This window comes from Homo sapiens, chromosome 7 (genome assembly GCF_000001405.40).
Source record: "Homo sapiens chromosome 7, GRCh38.p14 Primary Assembly".
Classification (NCBI taxonomy): Eukaryota; Metazoa; Chordata; class Mammalia; order Primates; family Hominidae; genus Homo; species Homo sapiens.
This window is the reverse complement of record NC_000007.14, coordinates 90,204,997-90,223,915: the sequence shown is the minus strand read 5'-3', so window position 1 is coordinate 90,223,915 and position 18,919 is coordinate 90,204,997. Positions and strand designations below refer to the sequence as shown.

General features: G+C 38.5%; 1 protein-coding gene and 1 long non-coding RNA gene across 24 annotated transcripts in view, besides 1 other annotated feature; one reads left to right on the top strand and one right to left on the bottom strand.

Annotated features, from left to right (window-relative positions):
* STEAP2 (STEAP2 metalloreductase) overlaps nucleotides 1–12,176 on the bottom strand; it is a 31,669-nt gene extending 19,493 nt beyond the window's left edge. For 3 of the 23 annotated variants that reach the window (XM_047420175.1, XM_047420180.1, XM_047420178.1), the window contains exons 1-3: nucleotides 11,871–12,176; nucleotides 11,580–11,640; nucleotides 7,313–7,425 (exon numbers count right to left, since the gene is read on the bottom strand). The gene's annotated coding sequence lies outside the window, so the exon portion shown is untranslated. Of the gene's footprint in view, nucleotides 1–7,312; nucleotides 7,485–10,055; nucleotides 10,097–11,456; nucleotides 11,560–11,579; nucleotides 11,641–11,870 lie in introns of those variants that run through there. The other 20 variants (XM_006715921.5, XM_017011956.3, XM_047420177.1 and 17 more) reach the window with 12 other exon arrangements.
* Nucleotides 12,014–12,073: a silencer, noted in NCBI's record as "silent region_18357". NCBI's record gives its function as "represses an Ori minimal core promoter by ATAC-STARR-seq in GM12878 lymphoblastoid cells {active_cell/tissue: GM12878}" and the evidence as "EXISTENCE:reporter gene assay evidence [ECO:0000049][PMID:35858748]".
* Nucleotides 12,177–12,280: 104 nt separating the features above from the next.
* Nucleotides 12,281–18,919, top strand: part of STEAP2-AS1 (STEAP2 antisense RNA 1) — a 329,283-nt gene continuing 322,644 nt past the window's right edge. The window contains exons 1-2 of the long non-coding RNA NR_110029.2: nucleotides 12,281–12,616; nucleotides 13,978–14,065. This is a non-coding gene — a long non-coding RNA (STEAP2 antisense RNA 1). The remainder of the gene's footprint in view (nucleotides 12,617–13,977; nucleotides 14,066–18,919) is intronic.

Genomic DNA, 18,919 nt, shown 5'->3' with positions numbered 1-18,919 from the left:
ACTTCAGTAGCTAGTGACTTTATCATTAAATGAGAGCTAGACAAATTAGCTAACAATGAATCCTGGCACTTAAATAATATCTTAAGAAAAATAGGCATCAAAATATAACAAAAGAGTAAATACCATGGACTTCTATCATTCACCCTACATCTTACAATGTATCATTGAGAAAGATAGCTTACCTATGGAAAAAGGATTAGTAACATGTTTATGATCTTAAATTATATAATATGTATGAAATCTTTTTCTTCCCCTTTGTAAAGAACATGGCTGTGCTTTGGTCAAGGACAGGCAGAGGTAAACATCCAGAGTGAGTGAGTTCAGAGCGCAAGCATATAACTTCACTTGTTACTTGTTATCATAGCCATGTAGACATAACAGAAGCTCACCACCATCGCTATGACATAGGGAAAACTCATCACTTGGCTCTAAGCCACTATTGTCTGTAAAAGGTATAATTGCCCTGTGGACACTGTAGAGGCACTCTTGTGCTCAGAGACAGAGAGTCAGAGCTGTCTGTCTTTGCAGACAGATGGGGGAGTCAGGACCCAGCTTGGCTTGCCCATGCCCAGAGAGAGAAATAGTTAAGCTGCTGACCCTGAAGGCAAGGGAGCTGTGTGTGTGGGAGCCACCAGACTAAGCAGCTGAGACAGGATGGACAGTGTGAGAAAGTTGTTGATCAGAGCTGCTGTTGAATAAAATCATCTTTCACCTGCCTACAGCCCTTCAAGTATTCTTTCTGCTCATCCACCCACGCCCTTTGGACCGCAACATGACACCCTTTCATTTGTTGGCTGCATAAACTATGATGCAGTTATTCTTCCTGGAAAAATCTCTCAAATTATTTTTTAGTTGAGAGACTAGCATCTGAAATGTTCATATTTGGAATAATTTGCTCAAGAATACAAATCAGGTTGCCATGAATTAGTGTCGAAATTGGGTCTGAAAGAAAAATACTCTTCCATTCTACCCTCATTGCACAATTTCTTCTATGCTCATAGCAGATGTGGACCATTTCAGAGGATTTAATGGACTTTACAGGCACAGGTGGAATGTTTCAAAAAAAAGTTGGGGTTTTTACTAAATGAAATTTGAAATGACTACAGCCAGGAAAATTCAACTTTTTACCCTAGAAATGAGTCACATCCAGTAACTCCAAATACATCAGTATGTTAAACTTTAGAAAGACAATAATTATAGTAATATTACTTAATGCTTATATAGGACATAATGTATTTCAGCTCTCTTGTGGTTTTTATGTATTAACTGATTGAATCCCCACAACCACCCTAAGAGACAGGTGCTAATACTGTCATACCCACTTTGTAGATGAGGAAACTGAGACCTGCAGAAGATAATTAATTTATCCAAGGACATAAAGACAGAAAATAGGGAAGCCAGGTAGTTGTCCAGCTAAGACATGTGTTATTTAGGTGCATGTAAGGAGTTTAGGAAAGGGTGTTTTTGGGGGGTTATAAGTATCAAGGTGTAACAATTACAGTTGTACTCAAAGTAGTATATTATTCCTTTTTCTTTGGTCATTTCATTGCTCCTCAGAGTTACCTAGGAGCACCCGATCCTGGGAAAGAAGAACATTTACTATTTTTAAATCAATTACATGTTTCATTTCACACCTTTCAAGATAGACCACTCCCTTGGTGTGGTCCATGCACCCAGAAAGGCAGGCAGGAGTCAGAGGTACCAGGGTAGGAAAAAAACCTGTCAATATCCATTTGGAGATGTCACTAGCTATGCTGGGAATCAGGAGTGGTTAAAAAAACCAGAAGTAATGAAATCCATGCTCACTTCATTCGAAAGTTAATGGTAATCATGAGCATTATCTAAGGGTGAAAAAGGTTGCTAGATTCACACAAGGGAATCCAAGTTTCCTATATCCCAGCCTGGAGTTCTTCTGAGTATATACTGCAGCATCTCCCAAAATATAAGAATTGCAAAATCTTTAAATCTAACACTCATGATGATCAAGACTTTTTCAAACAGAAACAAAAACAAAACAACATTAATTATCTGCTTATTTTACAAAGCAAGTTCAAATCCCTTCTGTAAATCAGAATGTGAACAGGTAAAAATTTTATTTTGCTGGGAGTTCCTTTATAGGTGACTGGTCATTCTCTTGCTGTTTTTAGAATTCACTCTTTGTCTTTTACTTTTGACAATATGACTATAATGTGCTGTGGGGAAGACCTTCTTGTATTGTATCTGTTTGGAGATCTCTAAGTTACCTGTATCCGGGTGTCTACATCTCTCACTAGACTTGGGAAGTTTTCATTGTTGAATAACTTTGAATGCAAATGGATTAAACTTTCCACTGAAAAGATATGGACTAGTAATAGATAAAAAATCATAACCCAAGTATATGCTGGGTACAAGAAACCCATCTAACATATAAAAACACATATAAGACTGAAAGCAAAGGGATGGAGAAAGATAGTCCATGCAAATGGAAACCAAAAGTCACTATACTTATATCAAATAAAACAGTTTGAGTCAAAAACAGTATAAAGAGACAATGAAGGTCATTATATAATGATAATAGATAAATTCTAGCAAGAGGATATAACAATTCTAAACATATATACACCCAACAACAGACCACTCAGATATATTAATATAAATAAAGTGTTATCAGATCTAAAAGGAGAAACAGACGCCAATACAACAACATTTGGGGACTTCAACACCGCCTGCCAGCATCTGACAGATAATCTAGACAGAAAATTAACAAAGAAACATTGAATTTAAACTATACGTTAGACCAAATGGACCTAACAAACATTCACAGAACATTTTATACAACAGTTACAGAATACAAATTCTCATCAGCACATAGACATTCTCTAGGAATGACCATGTTAGAACACAAAATAAGATTCAACAAATTTTTTAAAAATCGAAGTCATATCAAGTACTTCCTCAGACCACAATGGAATAAAACTAGAAGTCAACAACATGAGGAACTTTTGAAACTGTAAAAATAAATGATTAAACAACATGCTCCTAAATGACTACGGGGGCAAAGAATAAATTAAGGAAGAAATCAAAAAATTTCCCTCAACAAATAAAAATAAAAACACAACACACTGAAACCCATGAGATACAGCAAAAGCAGTGCTAAGATGGAAGCTTATATCAACAAGCACCTACACCAAAAAATCATTACGATTTCAAATAAACAACTTAATGATGTACCTCAAGGAACTAGAAAAGCAAAAACAAGCCAAACCCCAAATTGGTAAAAGGAAAGTAATAATAAAGATCAGAGCAGAACTAGACAAATTGGGACTTAAAAAACAATACAAAGGATGGATGAAACAAAAAGTTTTGTTTTTTGAAAAGATAAAATTGATAAAGCACTTGCTAGACTAACCAAGAAAAAAGAGGAAATACTCCAATAAAAAATCAGAAATGGAAAAGGAAACATTACAATTGATACCACAGAAATACATAAGATCATGAGAAGCTATTATGAACAACTATACACCAACAAACTGGAAAACCTAGAGGAAATGGATAAACTGCTACACATATACAAGCTACCAAGATTGAAATGGGAAGAAATGGAAAACCTGGACAGACCAGTAACAAAAAAAGTTGAGGCAGTAATTAAAAAACTCCCAACAAAGAAAAGTCCAGGGCCAGATGGCTTCACTGCCGAATTCTACCAAACTTTCAAAACAGACCTAACACCAATTCTCTTCAAACTCTTCCAAAACATTAAACAGGAGGGAATTCTGCCTAACTCATTCTATGAGGTCAGCATTATCTTCACACCAAAAGCAAACAAGGCTCAACAAAAAAGAAAACTACATACTATTATTCCTGATGAGCACAGATACAAAAACTCTCAACAAAATACTAGCAAACCAAGGGCCAGACATGATGGCTTATGCCTGTAATCCCAGCACTTTGGGAGGCCAATGCAGGAGGATGGATTGAAGCCAGGAGTTTAAGCCCAGCCTGGGCAACATAATGAGACCCTCGTCTCTACAAAAAATTTAAACAATAGCTAGGTGTGGTGGTACACACCTGAAGTCCTAGTACTCGGGAGCTGAGGCAGAAGAATCACCTGAGCCCAGAAGTTGAAGGCTGCAGTGATTTATGATTGCATAACCGCACTCCCTCCTGGGCAACAGAGCAAGACCCTGTCTCCTAAAAATTGTGTGTGTGCGCGCGTGTGTGTCTGTAGAAGCAAACCAAATCTAACAACTCATAAAAAAAACACACACACATCATGATCAAAGGGGATTTATTCCAGGAATGCATCCCAGGGATACAAGGATGGTTCAACATATGCAAATCAACAACTGTGATACATCACCTGAAGAGAATGAAGGACAATAACCATATGATCATCTCAATAGATGCAGAAAAAACATTTGAGAAAATTTAGCATCCCCTCATGATAAAACTTGCAACAAACTAGGGATAGAAAAAATATGCTTCACATAATAAGGGCTTATATGATCTATATAATAATAATATAGCTATCATTATTTTGAAATGGGGAAAAGCTCAAAGCCTTTCCTCTATGAACAGAAACAAGACAAGGATGCCACTTTCACCACTTCTATTCAACATCATATTGGAAGTCCTAGCCAGAGCAACCAGGAAAGAGAAAGAATAAAAGGTACCCAAACTGGAAAAGAGGAAGGTCAAATTATCCCTCTTTGCTGATGATATGATCTTAGATCTAGATAAACCTAAAGATTTCACACAAAAACTCTTAGATCTGATAAATAAATTCAATAAAGTTGCAGGATACAAAATCGACATACAAAAATCAGTACCATTTCTATACACCAACAATGAACTTGCTGAAAAAGACACCAAGAAGGCAATCCCATTTACAATAGCTATAAAAAAAACAAAAACAAACAAAAAACAACTAGGAATATATTTAACCAAGGAGGTGAAAGTTTGCTACAAGGAAAACTACAAAGCACTGTAGAAAAAAATTAAAGATGACATAAACGAATGGAAAAACATTCCATGCTTATGGATTGGAAGAATTAATATTAAAATGACCATACTGCCCAAAGCAATACACAGATTCAATGCAATCCCTATCAAAATACCAATGTGATTTTTCATAGAATTAGAAAAGACAATCCTAAAATTCATATAGAACCAAAAAATATCCTGAATAGCTACAGCAATCCTAAGCAAAAAGAACAAAGCTGAAGGCATCACACTACCTGACTTCAAAATATATTACAAGGCAATAGTAACCGAAAAAACATGGTACCGGTATAAAAACAAATGCACAGATCAATGAATGCAACAGATTAGATAATCCACAAAAAAAATCCACACATTTACAGCCAACTGATTGTCAACAAAGGCACCAAGAACATACACTGAGGAAAGGATATCCTCTTCAAATATATGGTACTTAGACAATTGGATATCTGTATGCAGAAGAATAAAACTGGACCCCTGTCCCTCACCATATACAAAAATCAACGCAAGGTCAACTAAAGACTTAAACATAAGACCCAAAACCCCTCATTTCAAGAAGAAAACATTGGGGAAATATTTGAAGACATTGGTCTAGGCAAAGATTTTATGGCTAGGACCTCAAAAGCACAGCAACAACAACAAAAAAATAGACAAATGGGACTATATTAAACTAAAAGACTTCCGTGCAGCAAAGGAAACAATCAACAGAATGAAGAGACCACCTATTGAATAGAAGAAAATATTTGCAAACTATTAATCTGATAAGGGACTAATATTCAGAATATACAAGGAACTCAAACAACTGACAATAAAAAACACATAATCCCATAAAAATGGGTAAAGGTCATGAATAGACATTTTTCCAAAGAAGACAAACAAATGGTTAATAGGTATATGAAAAAATGCTAAGCATCACTAATCACCAGAGAAATGCATATCAAAACCACAATGAGATTTCAACTTATCCCAATTAGAACTGCTATTATTAAAAGAGAAAAATGACAGATGCTGACAACGATTCAGAGAAAAGGGAATCCTTATATGTTATTGGTGGAAATGTAAATTAGTACAGCCTCTGTGGACAACAGTATAGGGGTTGTTTCTCAAAAGACTAAAAATGGAACTACCATACAATCCAGTAATCTCACTACCGGGTATTATCTACAGGAAAAGAAATTAGTATATCAAAGAGATACCCGTCCTCACATGTTTTTTTTTTTTTTTTTTTTTTGCGCACTATTCACACTAGCAAGGATATGGAATCAATCTACATGTCCATCAACAAATGGATAAAGAAAATGTGGTATGTATACACAATGAAATATTATTCAGCCTTAAAAAATGAAATCGTGTCATTTGCAGCAACATGGATAGGAGTGGAGGCCATTATGTTAAGTGAAATAACCCAGGCACAGAAAGGCAAATATCACATGTTTTTACTCATGTGTGGGAGCTAAAAAAGTGGATCCCATGGAGGTAGAGAATAGCATGAGAGATATCAGAGGCTGGAAGGATGTGTTGATGGGAGGAGGGGAGGAAGAGATGTTGGTTCATGGATACAAATGTACAGTTAGAAGAAGTAAGTTCTAATGTTCAATAGCAAAGTAGGTTGCCTATAGTCAGTAACAATGTACTGTGTATTTCAAAGTAGCTAGAAGAGATGACTTGAAATGTTCTTAACACATAGATATGATAAATACTCAAGGTGATGGATTCCCCAAAAACTCCAACCAGATCATTACACATTCTATGGATATAACAAATACTCATGTGTACCCCATAGATATGTAACATGTATCAATTTGTTTTAAAAGTTAGTCTAAGCAGGCTTCTTCAAGAAATAAATCCTACTTCCCTCAATGTTCTGAAAACTGGCCAGTGAGGGTGACCTGAATATTGCTGACCTGGCTTGGCACTACGCTTATGGTAGTGAGGGAAAGTCCCACTGTTTTGGCACATGGAGTAGCAGAACTGCAATCTCAGAGCTGCTTCTGAATGAGCTACTAAAGCAGTATTTCTCAACCCTAGGTGCATTCTCCAATGACCTGGCAAGTTTTAAAACACAGTGATGACGGGTCACCCCCCTACCACCCAGTTTTCACTTAATTGTTCTGGGGTTCATCCTGAGCAACAGCATTTTTTAAAAAAGATTAGCAGATGTTTTATTATGCAACCAAGATTGAAAATCACTCTAGTAAAAGATTCAGAATTCAATCTAATACTTTCATCATTTGGCGATAGTAGATGTGGCTTTCTGACCCTCACTTATGTTAATTTTTACGTTGTTGTTTGTAGTAATGAAAAATTACACTTGCGAAAGAGTAGTAGTTACCTTTGAATATAGGACGCTGAATAATATGCATGCAGTTCTTTCCCCTTTTCCACGCAAGGAGGAGCAGTATCAGAAGGTCCACTCACAATTTTCCAATTTCCTCTCTTCACTTTCTGGGAAAGGCAATGCCATTCCTTAAAATGCGTCACTCCTTGCACAACATACTTTGTTCCTGTTGTTTCATAATATTCAAAATTCGGAATATTTCCATGACTGTATCTCTTCTTTCTGTTCTACAAGGGGATCCCCTCCCCAGTTCTCCAGGCATCATGATCCTGCTGACCTGAGCAGACCACTGTTTCCAAGGGAATGACTCACTAGAAAGGCACTTGTCAAACTTTAATGCAAATATGATCACCTGGGGACCTCTTTAAAATGCACACTCAGATTCTTTAGGTCTAGAGGGAGGTTAGACATTCTGCATTTTTTCACAAGCTCCCAGGTGATGTCCACAGTGTCTATACCTTTTCTTTTGAAGTTATTCATAAGGAATCCAAATTAAATAACTGATAAAACTATGTCATTTATAGGCTGGGCATGGTGGCTCACGTCTGTAATCTCAGCACTTTGGGAGGCCGAAGCAGGTGGATCACTTGAGGTCAGGAGTTCAAGATCAGACTGGCCAACATGATTAAACCCCATCTTTACTAAAAAGGCACAAAAATTAGGCAGGGGTGGTGGCAGGTGCCTGTAATCCCAGCTACTTGGGAGGCTGAGGAAGGAGAATCGCTTGAACCAGGGAGCCAAGATCGCGCCACTGGACTCCAGCCTGGGCAACAGAGTGAGACTCAGCCTCAAAACAAAAACAAAAACAAACAAAAACAAAAAACAACTATGTCATTTATAGAAAGTTTTGTCTTCATAGTGTAGGGGTGAAAGAGCAGGCCTAAGCTTCTGCAATCACTTTGATTCTCTGAGTCTCAATTTCCTTTGTTAAACAGCAAACAAATAGGTTATACTTGACTCTGGTGGTAGTTTCCAACACTAAATAAGTCTTGAAGCTGTGTAATAATGGTAATATCACCACCCTATATTTAACACTTCAACTTCGGGAGCTCAATCTAAAAGTCTGTGTCAATGACATCGTTTTCTTGAATGGGCATTTGACTTGCTGTACACATTTAATACTTGAGAATGTATTATTTTGATAGGGAATTCAGTTACATTCAGCTGGACAGCCTCTTAAGGTTTTCAGTTTAGAAGGATTTCCTGAACATTCCTGAAGCTGAATGGCACCTGTTGTGCTATGTTACTTTTGAAAAATAGAACCTAATTTGTTTCACACATAAATAGGGCATTTATTATTGGATGACAGCAACTCTGAAAGGGCTGTCCACAGAGGTTTTGATGACATTTCACAACCTGCAGATTTGGAGAGGCTATCAAGAAAACATAATTCTCCAGGGCCATGAGGTGGGGTGGTGTAATCTTCACTTTGTAAGCCCACATCTGAACATCTCTTCTTCATTGTCTCTCCTGCAAACACCCAGCTCCTTTGAAGCTCATGGTACTTCACCATACCCTCTCCCTGTCCTTACTGCTGTCCTCACTGCTGTCCTCTACTGACTTCTAGTTTATTCCTTATGACTGCAGACTCTGGCTCCCAGTATATACATGGTCATCCTCTCTACCCTAATAGCTATCATGTTTTTCCTGGACTTTATCATTCAAGTGGATGAACCATTCAACTTCAGGGGCTCTTATTTCCTTGACTTACTCATTGGAGACAATGAATTTTTGCCTCTACCCCACCTCAGTCACTCACTGCCTGAAATCTCCAAGCACTGTCTCCAGGACTTCCAATAATCTTAGTTTAAATATTCACACTGATAATTCTAAACAGCAAAAGAAATCTGATCCGTTGACCTCTACCTCTCTAATTGCTTAATATCCTGCACTCTCCTTCAGCCTGCTCTGGTTTCTCTTTAAACCGAGGCTAGATTTGTAGTCACTCCCTTAAAAAGATCCTCAGCTCTCTTACTCTCCATCATATCTGCTTGGCAAAACTCTAGTCCTGGACCCAGCTATCCATTTTCTCTGTATCTGTATCCACGTTGGTGAAGGTTGCTGGAGAAAAACCAGAAAACTGAGCTCATTAGTTTCACCTTAAATTAACAATCACCAATTTTACCTATCAAAGACCAGTCTATCCACTTATGTCCTGGAGAGCCTCCCTTTTTGCTTCCCAAGGGGATATGGTTATGACCTCTTTCTGTGACATCTCAAACTTCACAGGTTCAAACCTGAACTTTTTCCACCCAGAGCTGGTCCCATTCGCCTGGAAATGTGTAAATGCCACCATTATCCACCAGTTGCTCCAATCAGAAAATTGGGAGTCATTCTTAAGTCCTTGCTGACCCTCACTTTTGACATAAAATCCTGCACCAATTCCTGTTCTCCAACATATTTCATAAATCCCTCTCCACCAATACCAGGCTAGTCCAGGTGTCTATCATCTCACCTGAACTCTGCAAACATTTCCTAATGGGTCAGCCTACTTTCTCTTTTGACCCTTTCCAAACATCTCCACAGCAGCTAAAATCATCTTAAAATGTAAATCGTCATAAAATGTCTCTCCTTAAAATCGGTGCTCCTTGTACTTAGAACTACAGCCATCTTCCTGACTATCACGTAAAAGGTCCTGAATGAGTTAGTCCCCGCTTCCCCTCTCTAACCTTATCTGTATATTGTCCACCCACAGCATTCTCTTCTAGAAAGAGAAAACAACAACCACTTTATGTACCTTGGGAGCTTTCCATATACTGTTCCATCTCTATAGCAGAATAATTCACTCAGCCCTTGTTAAATTTATTTTGTAATATTTTATATAATTGTTTCTTTACTGTTTACTATTTCCCCCATTGGACAATAAACTGCACGAGGGAAGAACCATGTTTGTCTTGTCCGTGATCACTGCCTCCACATTGGCTGGCAGTGTAACTAAGGATGCAATAAAAATTCTTTGTTATGGAATACATCAAAAAAATTCAGGACAAAAAGACATGTAATAATTCTCTAGATCAGATTTCTCTTTTTGCTGAAAACACATGTGGGCCCTTAAGGGGTAGGTGATTTATCAATGTTATTGTTATGTTAATGTCTCAGTTACCTCAATGTCCTGGTTTCTGGCCCAGCAGGGATAAATACATCTCCTGATGTCCTATGTCCTTTATCACGCCTGCAGTCTTACTCTTTCACATTTTTGGTGTATCTTCTTTCTCACTTTTCTAACTCATTTACAATCCTTTCTTTAAAAATTTGTCTTCACCTGTCCTGTTTTTTCAGTACTAAAATACAACTATGTTCATTCACCACATTTTCCATAGCACCAGTACAATAAAAAGTGACTTGGATAAAGCTTTTCATTTCCTTACTGCACAATTTGCTCAAGTTGTCATTCTCAATATTGTCTCATTTCCCCATACCCTGACAGAGTGACTAGCTAAGAGGCAGAGAGTGCAGCCATCCCAATGGCAGCACACATAGTTACTCTTTATGTTTCTAAACATCCTGCAAATTATTTAGGACGGGTGTTTTGTTTTGTTTTGTTTTGCTTTTCCATTAAATAGCCTCTAAGCTTTGAAGCAACCAAGAGAGAATCGGAGTAAAAAAATTATAGGGTTAAAGAAAGAAAAAATAAACAGATCAATAAAATGAAGAAATAATAAAGTGGAGAAAAGGAAGGATGGGGAGGTGGTTTAGAAAACAAAAAGGGTTCCAAGCAGCGGGGCTGTTAAAAGGACCAGAATCTAAGTCAGGAGGTTGGGGGTGGGGGTGGGGGTGGGGCAGGAGTCTGAATTCTTTTTCTCCTATACTGATGAGCGATAATTAACTATGGCCTGGACTGTCTTTCCATCTAAAAAACTAACTGCCCGAGGAGTAAAAACTGACACCAATCCTTCTCCACGGGGTGGGAGAGATAATAAATGGAAATCTTCCAACAAAAATGCTCTTTATCTCTCTGCTCTATTTTAAGAGCAAGATTTTTAGGGCATAATTTTCAACAAGTTTTGGCTGAGGCTGAACACAGGGTTCAAAGATAATTTAGGACAGTCAAAGAAGAGGCCAATTACTTTCTAACAGAAATGGCCTAAACACCACGATTACATTACTGGGAAATAAACCAAATGACTGCTAGAAATACCTGTTCGCAAAGCAGCACTGCATGATCTTCCATGAAATGCCCTGCATCAACCCAAAGTAGCAGGGAGACTATCAAGGGGGCGAAAGTAACCTGCCTGTCCTTTCCTGCTGGGACACATCCTACCTGGGACAATGTCTCCTTGCCTTCTTTCTCCTGGGCCCAACCTCAGGACTTGCCCTTAGCTCTAGGAACCAAGAGGAGGAGGAGGGGGAATCAGTGGAACAGACACCCTTCTCCACCCTTCTCACTTTCCACCTTAAGGTGCCAGGAGATGAGGGACCCCGCAGCTCAGGGCGGACGCCCGGTGAGGGCGCAGAATCGGGGAGGATGGATGCAGCGCGTGGCGCAGACTGCATCTTGACCCTCAACTCCGCCGCCGCTACCTTCTTTCGCGCTCCTCCCCGACCCGCTCACCTCCGCGCCCCCCGCGCCCTCCACGCCGGGCAGGGGCGAGCCTTGCAGCTCCCCGGGAGCGGCGCCGACTCCCCAAGGGCCCACCCGGGGGCCAGGGCCTACGGACTGCACCTCCGACTGGCGGTTGCAGGGTGGCTGCCGCGGCGGTCGCACTCCAGCTGCTTCCCCGCCTACCCAAGCTGGATCGCGAACAGCCAGGGGAGAAGGAAGGAGGGAGGCGCGCGGAGGCCGGCTTGGCAGCGACGCGCCGCTAGGGGCTGCGTGCCCGGACAGCTCGTGGCGCCGAGGGCCCGAGGAACGCTGACTGGAGTCGGGAAGAGCCGTGGAGCGCGGGGAGGAGTCGGGGAGCTCGGAGGGGGCGGGGGTGTGTGAAGGGAGCCGGGCTGTGTGGAGGGAGCTGGGAAGGGCCCAGAGCACCGAGGGGGAGCCAGCAGTGAGTGCACTGGGGAGCTCCACACACGCGGCTCCGCAGCTTTGCGCGCCCTTCTACCGCGAGCGGCTGAGTATCCGCCTGGCTCCCCTGCGGGGTTCCTCCGTGGTCTTCCGGAGATTCTTTCTGAAGCAGCTTTAGAATAGTCAAGCCTATTTTTCTACTCCATTTCTTTTTGTAATGTGGGGTCACCTTTCCGCTCTAGAAATTGCTTTTCTTACGCGATTCCCACCCCAACTCTCGCCAAGGGCCCTGGTTCTCATCTCCCCAGTCTTAGCTTCTGACAAGCCTCCAAGAAACTGCGCTTTTTTCTTTTGTAAGTGTTCTTTTGCCTCATGTTTACCCTATCCCAAACGTCTTTTGACTAGACTGTGTCCTTGGAATAAAATGTTCGGAAATGCCCTTTCATGAAAACTCCCTCGGATAGGAGGACCCTCACAGACCCTGGACTGCAGAGATTATTCTGTTGACTTTGACCTTCACTCTAGCTGGTGCCGCGCGAGCTTTGGTGTGGGGGAAAGGAAGGTTAGGCCGTGAGTCAGGAGACCTGTGTTCCTGCGAAAGCCATTTACCTTCTGGGGCCGCAATGGCTTTGAATGTTTCAGGGGATCCCCTGAGAGCACCTTTGGCTCTGGGTTTCTGTAAATTTTCTCCCTGCGGATTACCAAGTAAAAGTACCTTTTATCTTTTGTGTAGAAGGTGTCAGTAGAAGAAGCAAGAGATCTTTATTCCCAAATATAAAATCAACTTACCAAAAATTCTCAAATTTGGGGAAATTTTTTTCATACATTAGTAAAGTACCATTTCAACAAATTAAGTTTAAAAATTATCCCTCTAGGTGGTTTATTAACCAGACCAAAAAAACCCAACAACAACAACAACGAGAGGGGGGTCTTAGATCGATCACTGGGGCACTGCACTTTCCCCTTTGTAGTCCATACACAGATTAACCTTTGTAAATGCTGCTTTGGAAATACATCCTTTGTTTGACTTGAAATGTAACCCCTCCCCTACCGCCAAATATTATTAAGGTTTAAAGTTTAGGCAGAAGCTAAGGTTTTAACGATGTGTCAGGGTGTGGAACCATCGACAGCTGGTAGAATACTTTCCATTTTGGTTACTGGAAACAAGTCATTAAATCTAATATCAATTTTAATAATTTCACTTCAACAAAACTGTCAAATAATGAGATTCGTGGAGTTTTTTCTAGTAGTTCCTCTGGAGAACTTGTGGAGAAAATTCATGAATCTTAGCAGTTAACGGAAAGTATATTGCTTTTCCATATATTTTAAAAAACTATAGAATTATATAACTTCCCCACGGGGATATTAAAAGAAATTGCACTTTCTAACTTCTATAACCATAAATTATCATGTAAAACATGTAGGTAAGCCATATATTTTAAATATGTTTAAAAGCTCTCTTAACATGGGCTTTGACTATTGAGAAAATAGATAAAGTAATGTGAAATCCCTTTTCCTAAATGAGAATCAGTGAGTCAACAATTTGCAGCTTCCAAAAGGGATATCTCTTTTTCATGCTTGAACTATTAAAATAAACAAATATCTTTGATGGGAAATCTAATGTTACCAAATGTGTTCCAGAAGACTGTTGGTGTTAATGCAAAGCATGATTCCTTTAACTTCCATGGTAACTAATTTTATCATTGTTTTTCAGCTGGAGATGCAGAGTATGAAAATGATTTTGCAAGACTTTTCCAGGTCATGAGGTGCTCTCTGAGAAATCTCTTCTGTTCCCTAAAGTAGTAAGTGACTCAACTGAAGCGAAGCAATAATTATTAAATGGATCTCTAGTGGCCTAGGGGCATTAACACATTTTTTTCCTTTGAAGTTATTATACAATTAAATAACTTTAGAGTGGTAGTTCCCAAAATGTGTGACTTTAGGCACTAGTTTGCCTAAATGCTGCTCTAGCAAGTCATTCACTTCAAAAATATTGAGCCACTTCTATATGCCCTGGCTGGCACTCTAGGAACAGTGGTGAAGAAGACAGATATATTTACCTGTCCTGATAGAAGTTACAGTTTGGTGAAAACGATAAATTAGTAACAAGTGCAAATAAGATTTATGCAGATTTATTTACACAAAATAAATGTAAGTCGTGATGTAAATAGTAGATTTTGAGATAAACAATAAGAGAAATCTCTTCATTTTAGAGATCCACAATGTATGTTAATAAATTAAAGGCTCTGAAAATTCCTATGGTAAAAACATTTTACCTAACCTATTCCCCAAACCCCCAAATTTGTTTTGAACAAATTTGTTTGTAAGCAGTGCTTATAATAAAATAGAATAATTTTTGTGAAATGCTGCTTTGTTTTAAAACCAAAGAATTCAATAAACATGAAATTCTGTTAACATCACCTTACATTTATTTGTCAATGTACATTAATATACATCAATAGATTTATACATGTAAATATAATCTGAAGTAGACTGTGTTTGCACATGTTTATACCAGCGCAATTCACAATTGCAAAAAATATGGAACCAGCCTAAATGTCCATCAACCAACGAGTGGATAAAGAAAATATAGTATATATATACCACAGAATACTACTCAGCCATAAAAAGGAACAAAATAATGGCATTCTCAGCAACCTGGATGGAATTAGAGATGATTATTCTAAGTGAAATAACTCAGAGTGGAAAACCAAACATATGTTCTCATTCATAAGCTGGAGCTAAGCTATGAGGACACAAAGGCATCAGAATGATATAGTGGAGTCTGGGGGCTCCAGGGGGAAGTGGGGTGAGGGGTAAAATACTACGTATTGAGTACAGTGTACACTGCTCTGGTGATGGGTACACCAAAATCTCAGAAATTACTGCAAAAGAATTTGTTCATGTCACAAAAAGCCACCTGTTCCTCAGAAACTATTGAAATAAAAAATAAATTGTTTAAGTATGATTAAAAAAAGAAATACGCTGTGTTTGAACACAAAATGATACACAAGGATTTATAAATCTATTAAAATGCTTGAATGTACATCTGTACAAAACACATATTTATAATTAACATTATTTCATAAACATATTTCCAGAGATCAACATGTTCTAAAGTCTTATAATTCTTAATGGCTATATAGTTTATATATTGGTATAGACTAGTTTTTCCTTCCTTCCTTCCTTCCTTCCTTCCTTCCTTCCTTCCTTCCTTCCTTCCTTCCTTCCTTCCTTCCCTCCCTCCCTCCCTCCCTCCCTCCCTCCCTCCCTCCCTTCCTTCCTTCCTTCCTTCCTTCCTTTCTCTTTTTTTTCAGGGTCTGAATCTGTAATCCAGGCTAGAGTGCAGTGGCATGGTCAAGGCTCACTGCAGCCTCAACCTCCTGAGCTCAAGTGAGTCTCCTGCCTCAGCCTCCCAGAAGCTGGACTACAGGCAGGCACACGCCACCACACCCAGCTAATTATTTATTACTTGTAGAGAGGGGATCTCCCTAGGTTGCCCAGGCTGGTCTTAAATGCCTAGGCTCAAGTGATCTTCCCACATCACCCATCCCTCTCACAGTGTGCTGGGATTACATGTGTGAGCCACTGTGTTTGGCCTAGAATAGTTTTCTTAACCCTAAATTTTAGGAAAGTACATTTTCTGATTCTTTAACTATTATAAGTAACACTGCTTTAACCTCCTTGAACAAATTACTCTTTGGAGTAATAAGTGATGGGAATATTTTCTTGGGATATATTTTTTAATGTGGGTTTTTTAATTAAAAGAAATTTTATTTTTTCTGTTTACATAGTCTCATATTTCTTTCCATAACAATTGAAAAATCATTATAAAAATATGGATGTACTTTTATCTTTTAGATTCAGTATCTCATTGACACTGAATTTTATTATTTGTATTTGTTTAAGTTGATTAAGGAAGCTTTAAAATGTGTGTAATTTCAGTATACCCATAGGAAATAGCAAAAATACCTGGAGGAATTTGACTGGATAGCTTTGGTCATAAATCCATAAAGGGCCTCAAAGCTATTTCCCTCCCAATGTACCTCTCTGCGAATTCTTCTAAACTAATTTTGTGGTAATTTTAAAAAATTATCTGAAATTAAAAGAATTCTCAGAAAAGTTCTATAAGCATTGGCTCTAGATCTGCAGTTGGTATAGACCAGCAAAATTGACTGACGACCAATGTTAGAAAGAGGAACCAAAATTTGAATAGGGGCTCAGTGTAAGGACAGCTGTGTTTGGGGGATTCCTGTAGGAAGGGAAAACTTTTCAAGCATTTAAAAGGAATATATCATGGAAGAGTATCAGCAAGGGCTTTGGATTTCTTCATAGCTTTGAAGTAAGCAAGAAAAAATGGAGACAGTCAATCTGACCCATGTGCTTTCAGCATTTGATGACCTGGGCTGAATTCATGGATATTGCCAGCTATGGATTTTAAAATTAGAGTTTTTCTGATGATAATCAGATTCTACTTAAATATAAAAATATAATCATACCCTAGTGTCACAACATGTCTTCATATTCATTTTTAAATCTTCAAACACTGGTCAAGCCCATTCCCTCACTCAAAGAGCACTCAGTTCCTTCTGTCTATTGCTAAGGATTTAGTCTATGCATAGAACAGTGTTTACATTGTAGGTATTCTTGAGGATATTAGAGCTCTCTAGCAAACATTTAAAATGTATATTTTCAAATAAACAAATTATAAAACATTATAATCTTAACCATTTCATCAAATTTGATTCTGGATCTCATGGATGACCACCTTATAACTGAGTACAACCACGCAATTTCAGAGTCCCTGTTTTTTGCATTTATCATTGCATTGGTGTTGTATTAACCTGTCAGATCTTAATGAGAGAACTCTTGCAGCTGAATAAAAAGAGAAATAACCCAATTACAAAATGGCCAAAGAATCTGAATACACATTTCTTCAAAGAAGATATGCATGGCTAATAAGCAAACAAAAAACTGCTCAACATCCTTAATCCTTAGATAAATGCAAATCAAAACCACCTGAGATACCACTCACACCTACTGAGATGGCTATAATCAGAAAGTCAGTATCACAATATCAAGTCTTGGTGAGAAAGTAGAGAAATTGGCATCCTCATACATTGCTGGTGGGAAAGTAAAATGTGCAACTATTCTGGAAAACAGTTGGGCAATTTCACTCCTAGTTACATACCCAAGAGAACTGAAAACATTTTTACACAAAAACTTGCACTCAAATATTATCACAGCATTATCATAGTAGCCCAAAGGTAGAAACAACTCAAATGTCCATTAATTGATTAAAATGTACATGAAATGTATATGATCCCATCCACAAAATGAAACATTATTCAGGTATAAAAAGGGATTCAATACTGGCATGGATTACAACATAAACCTTGAAAAATTATGCTAAGTGAAAGGTGCCAGACCCAAAGATCCACATATTTTATAATTCCGTTTATATTAAATATTCAGAATAGGAAAATCATTACAGAAAATAGTTTGATAATTGCCAACCTACTGGCTGGTGGGGAAGAGTGTGGGGCATTGCTATAAAGGAATGCCTAGGCTGGGTAATTTATGAAGAGTTTTTGACTCAGTTCTACAGGCTATACAAGAAGCATGGCCATGGCACCAGCATTTGCTTCTGGTGAGGGCTTCAGGAAGCTTCTATTCATGGCAGAAGACGAAGGGGAGCAGGTTTCCCATGGCAAGAAAAGGAAAGAGAGGAGGGAGGTGCCAGGCTCTTTTTAACAACCAGTTCTCATGGGATTACTCCAGTAAGAATGGCACCAAGCCATTCATGAGGGGTCCGCCCCTCCATGACCAAAACACCTCCTACTAGGCCTCACCTCCAACACTGGGGATCAAATTTTAACATGAGATTTTGAAGGCACGAATATCTAAACTATATTAACTGCTTAGTGAGTGTGGGATTTCTTTTTGGTATGATGAAAATATTCTGGAATTAGTGATGATGGCTGCACAAGTTTGTGAATACGCTAAAAGCCACTGAACTGTACTCTTCAAAGGCATAAATTGTATAGTATGTGAATTAAATCCCAATAATAAAGAAAAATAGTAATCAGGAATTGTCTTAAGAAAAAACTTGAGAGAACAGATGTAGACTTAATTTGTAACAAGCCATTCCCTTAAAATGAAGACCAAATGACATTAATTTGTGCTGTGCCAATATATATTTAGCAGTTGACAGAAGAGAAAAACAAGTGGTGGGAGAAATTAGTCACTATCCCGCTCATTTTAATTTATGTATGTTAAAGCCAGAAGATCTACAGTTAAAGTCAATACCATATTCACATTACAAGGAACAATTTAACTTCTGTAAAACGGTATCATTCTTCACATTCGCTTGTCTGTTAACTTTTCTGTGAAATCCAGCTCTGCCATTTATCAGTTTTGGGACATTGGACAAGTTGTTTAACTTCTTCCAGTCTTGGTTGCCTCATCTATTAAATGGCGATAATAATCATGTCCAACTCATTGGGTTGTGAATATTAAATAAGTTGATAGATGTAAAGTGCCTAGTACTTATTATGTACTATACATGTTAGATATAATTTAACAATTTTGCAATTTGTTTTGGTTTTATAGTTGTGTGTAAACTGTAATCATAAGAAATTTATAATTCATTTTAT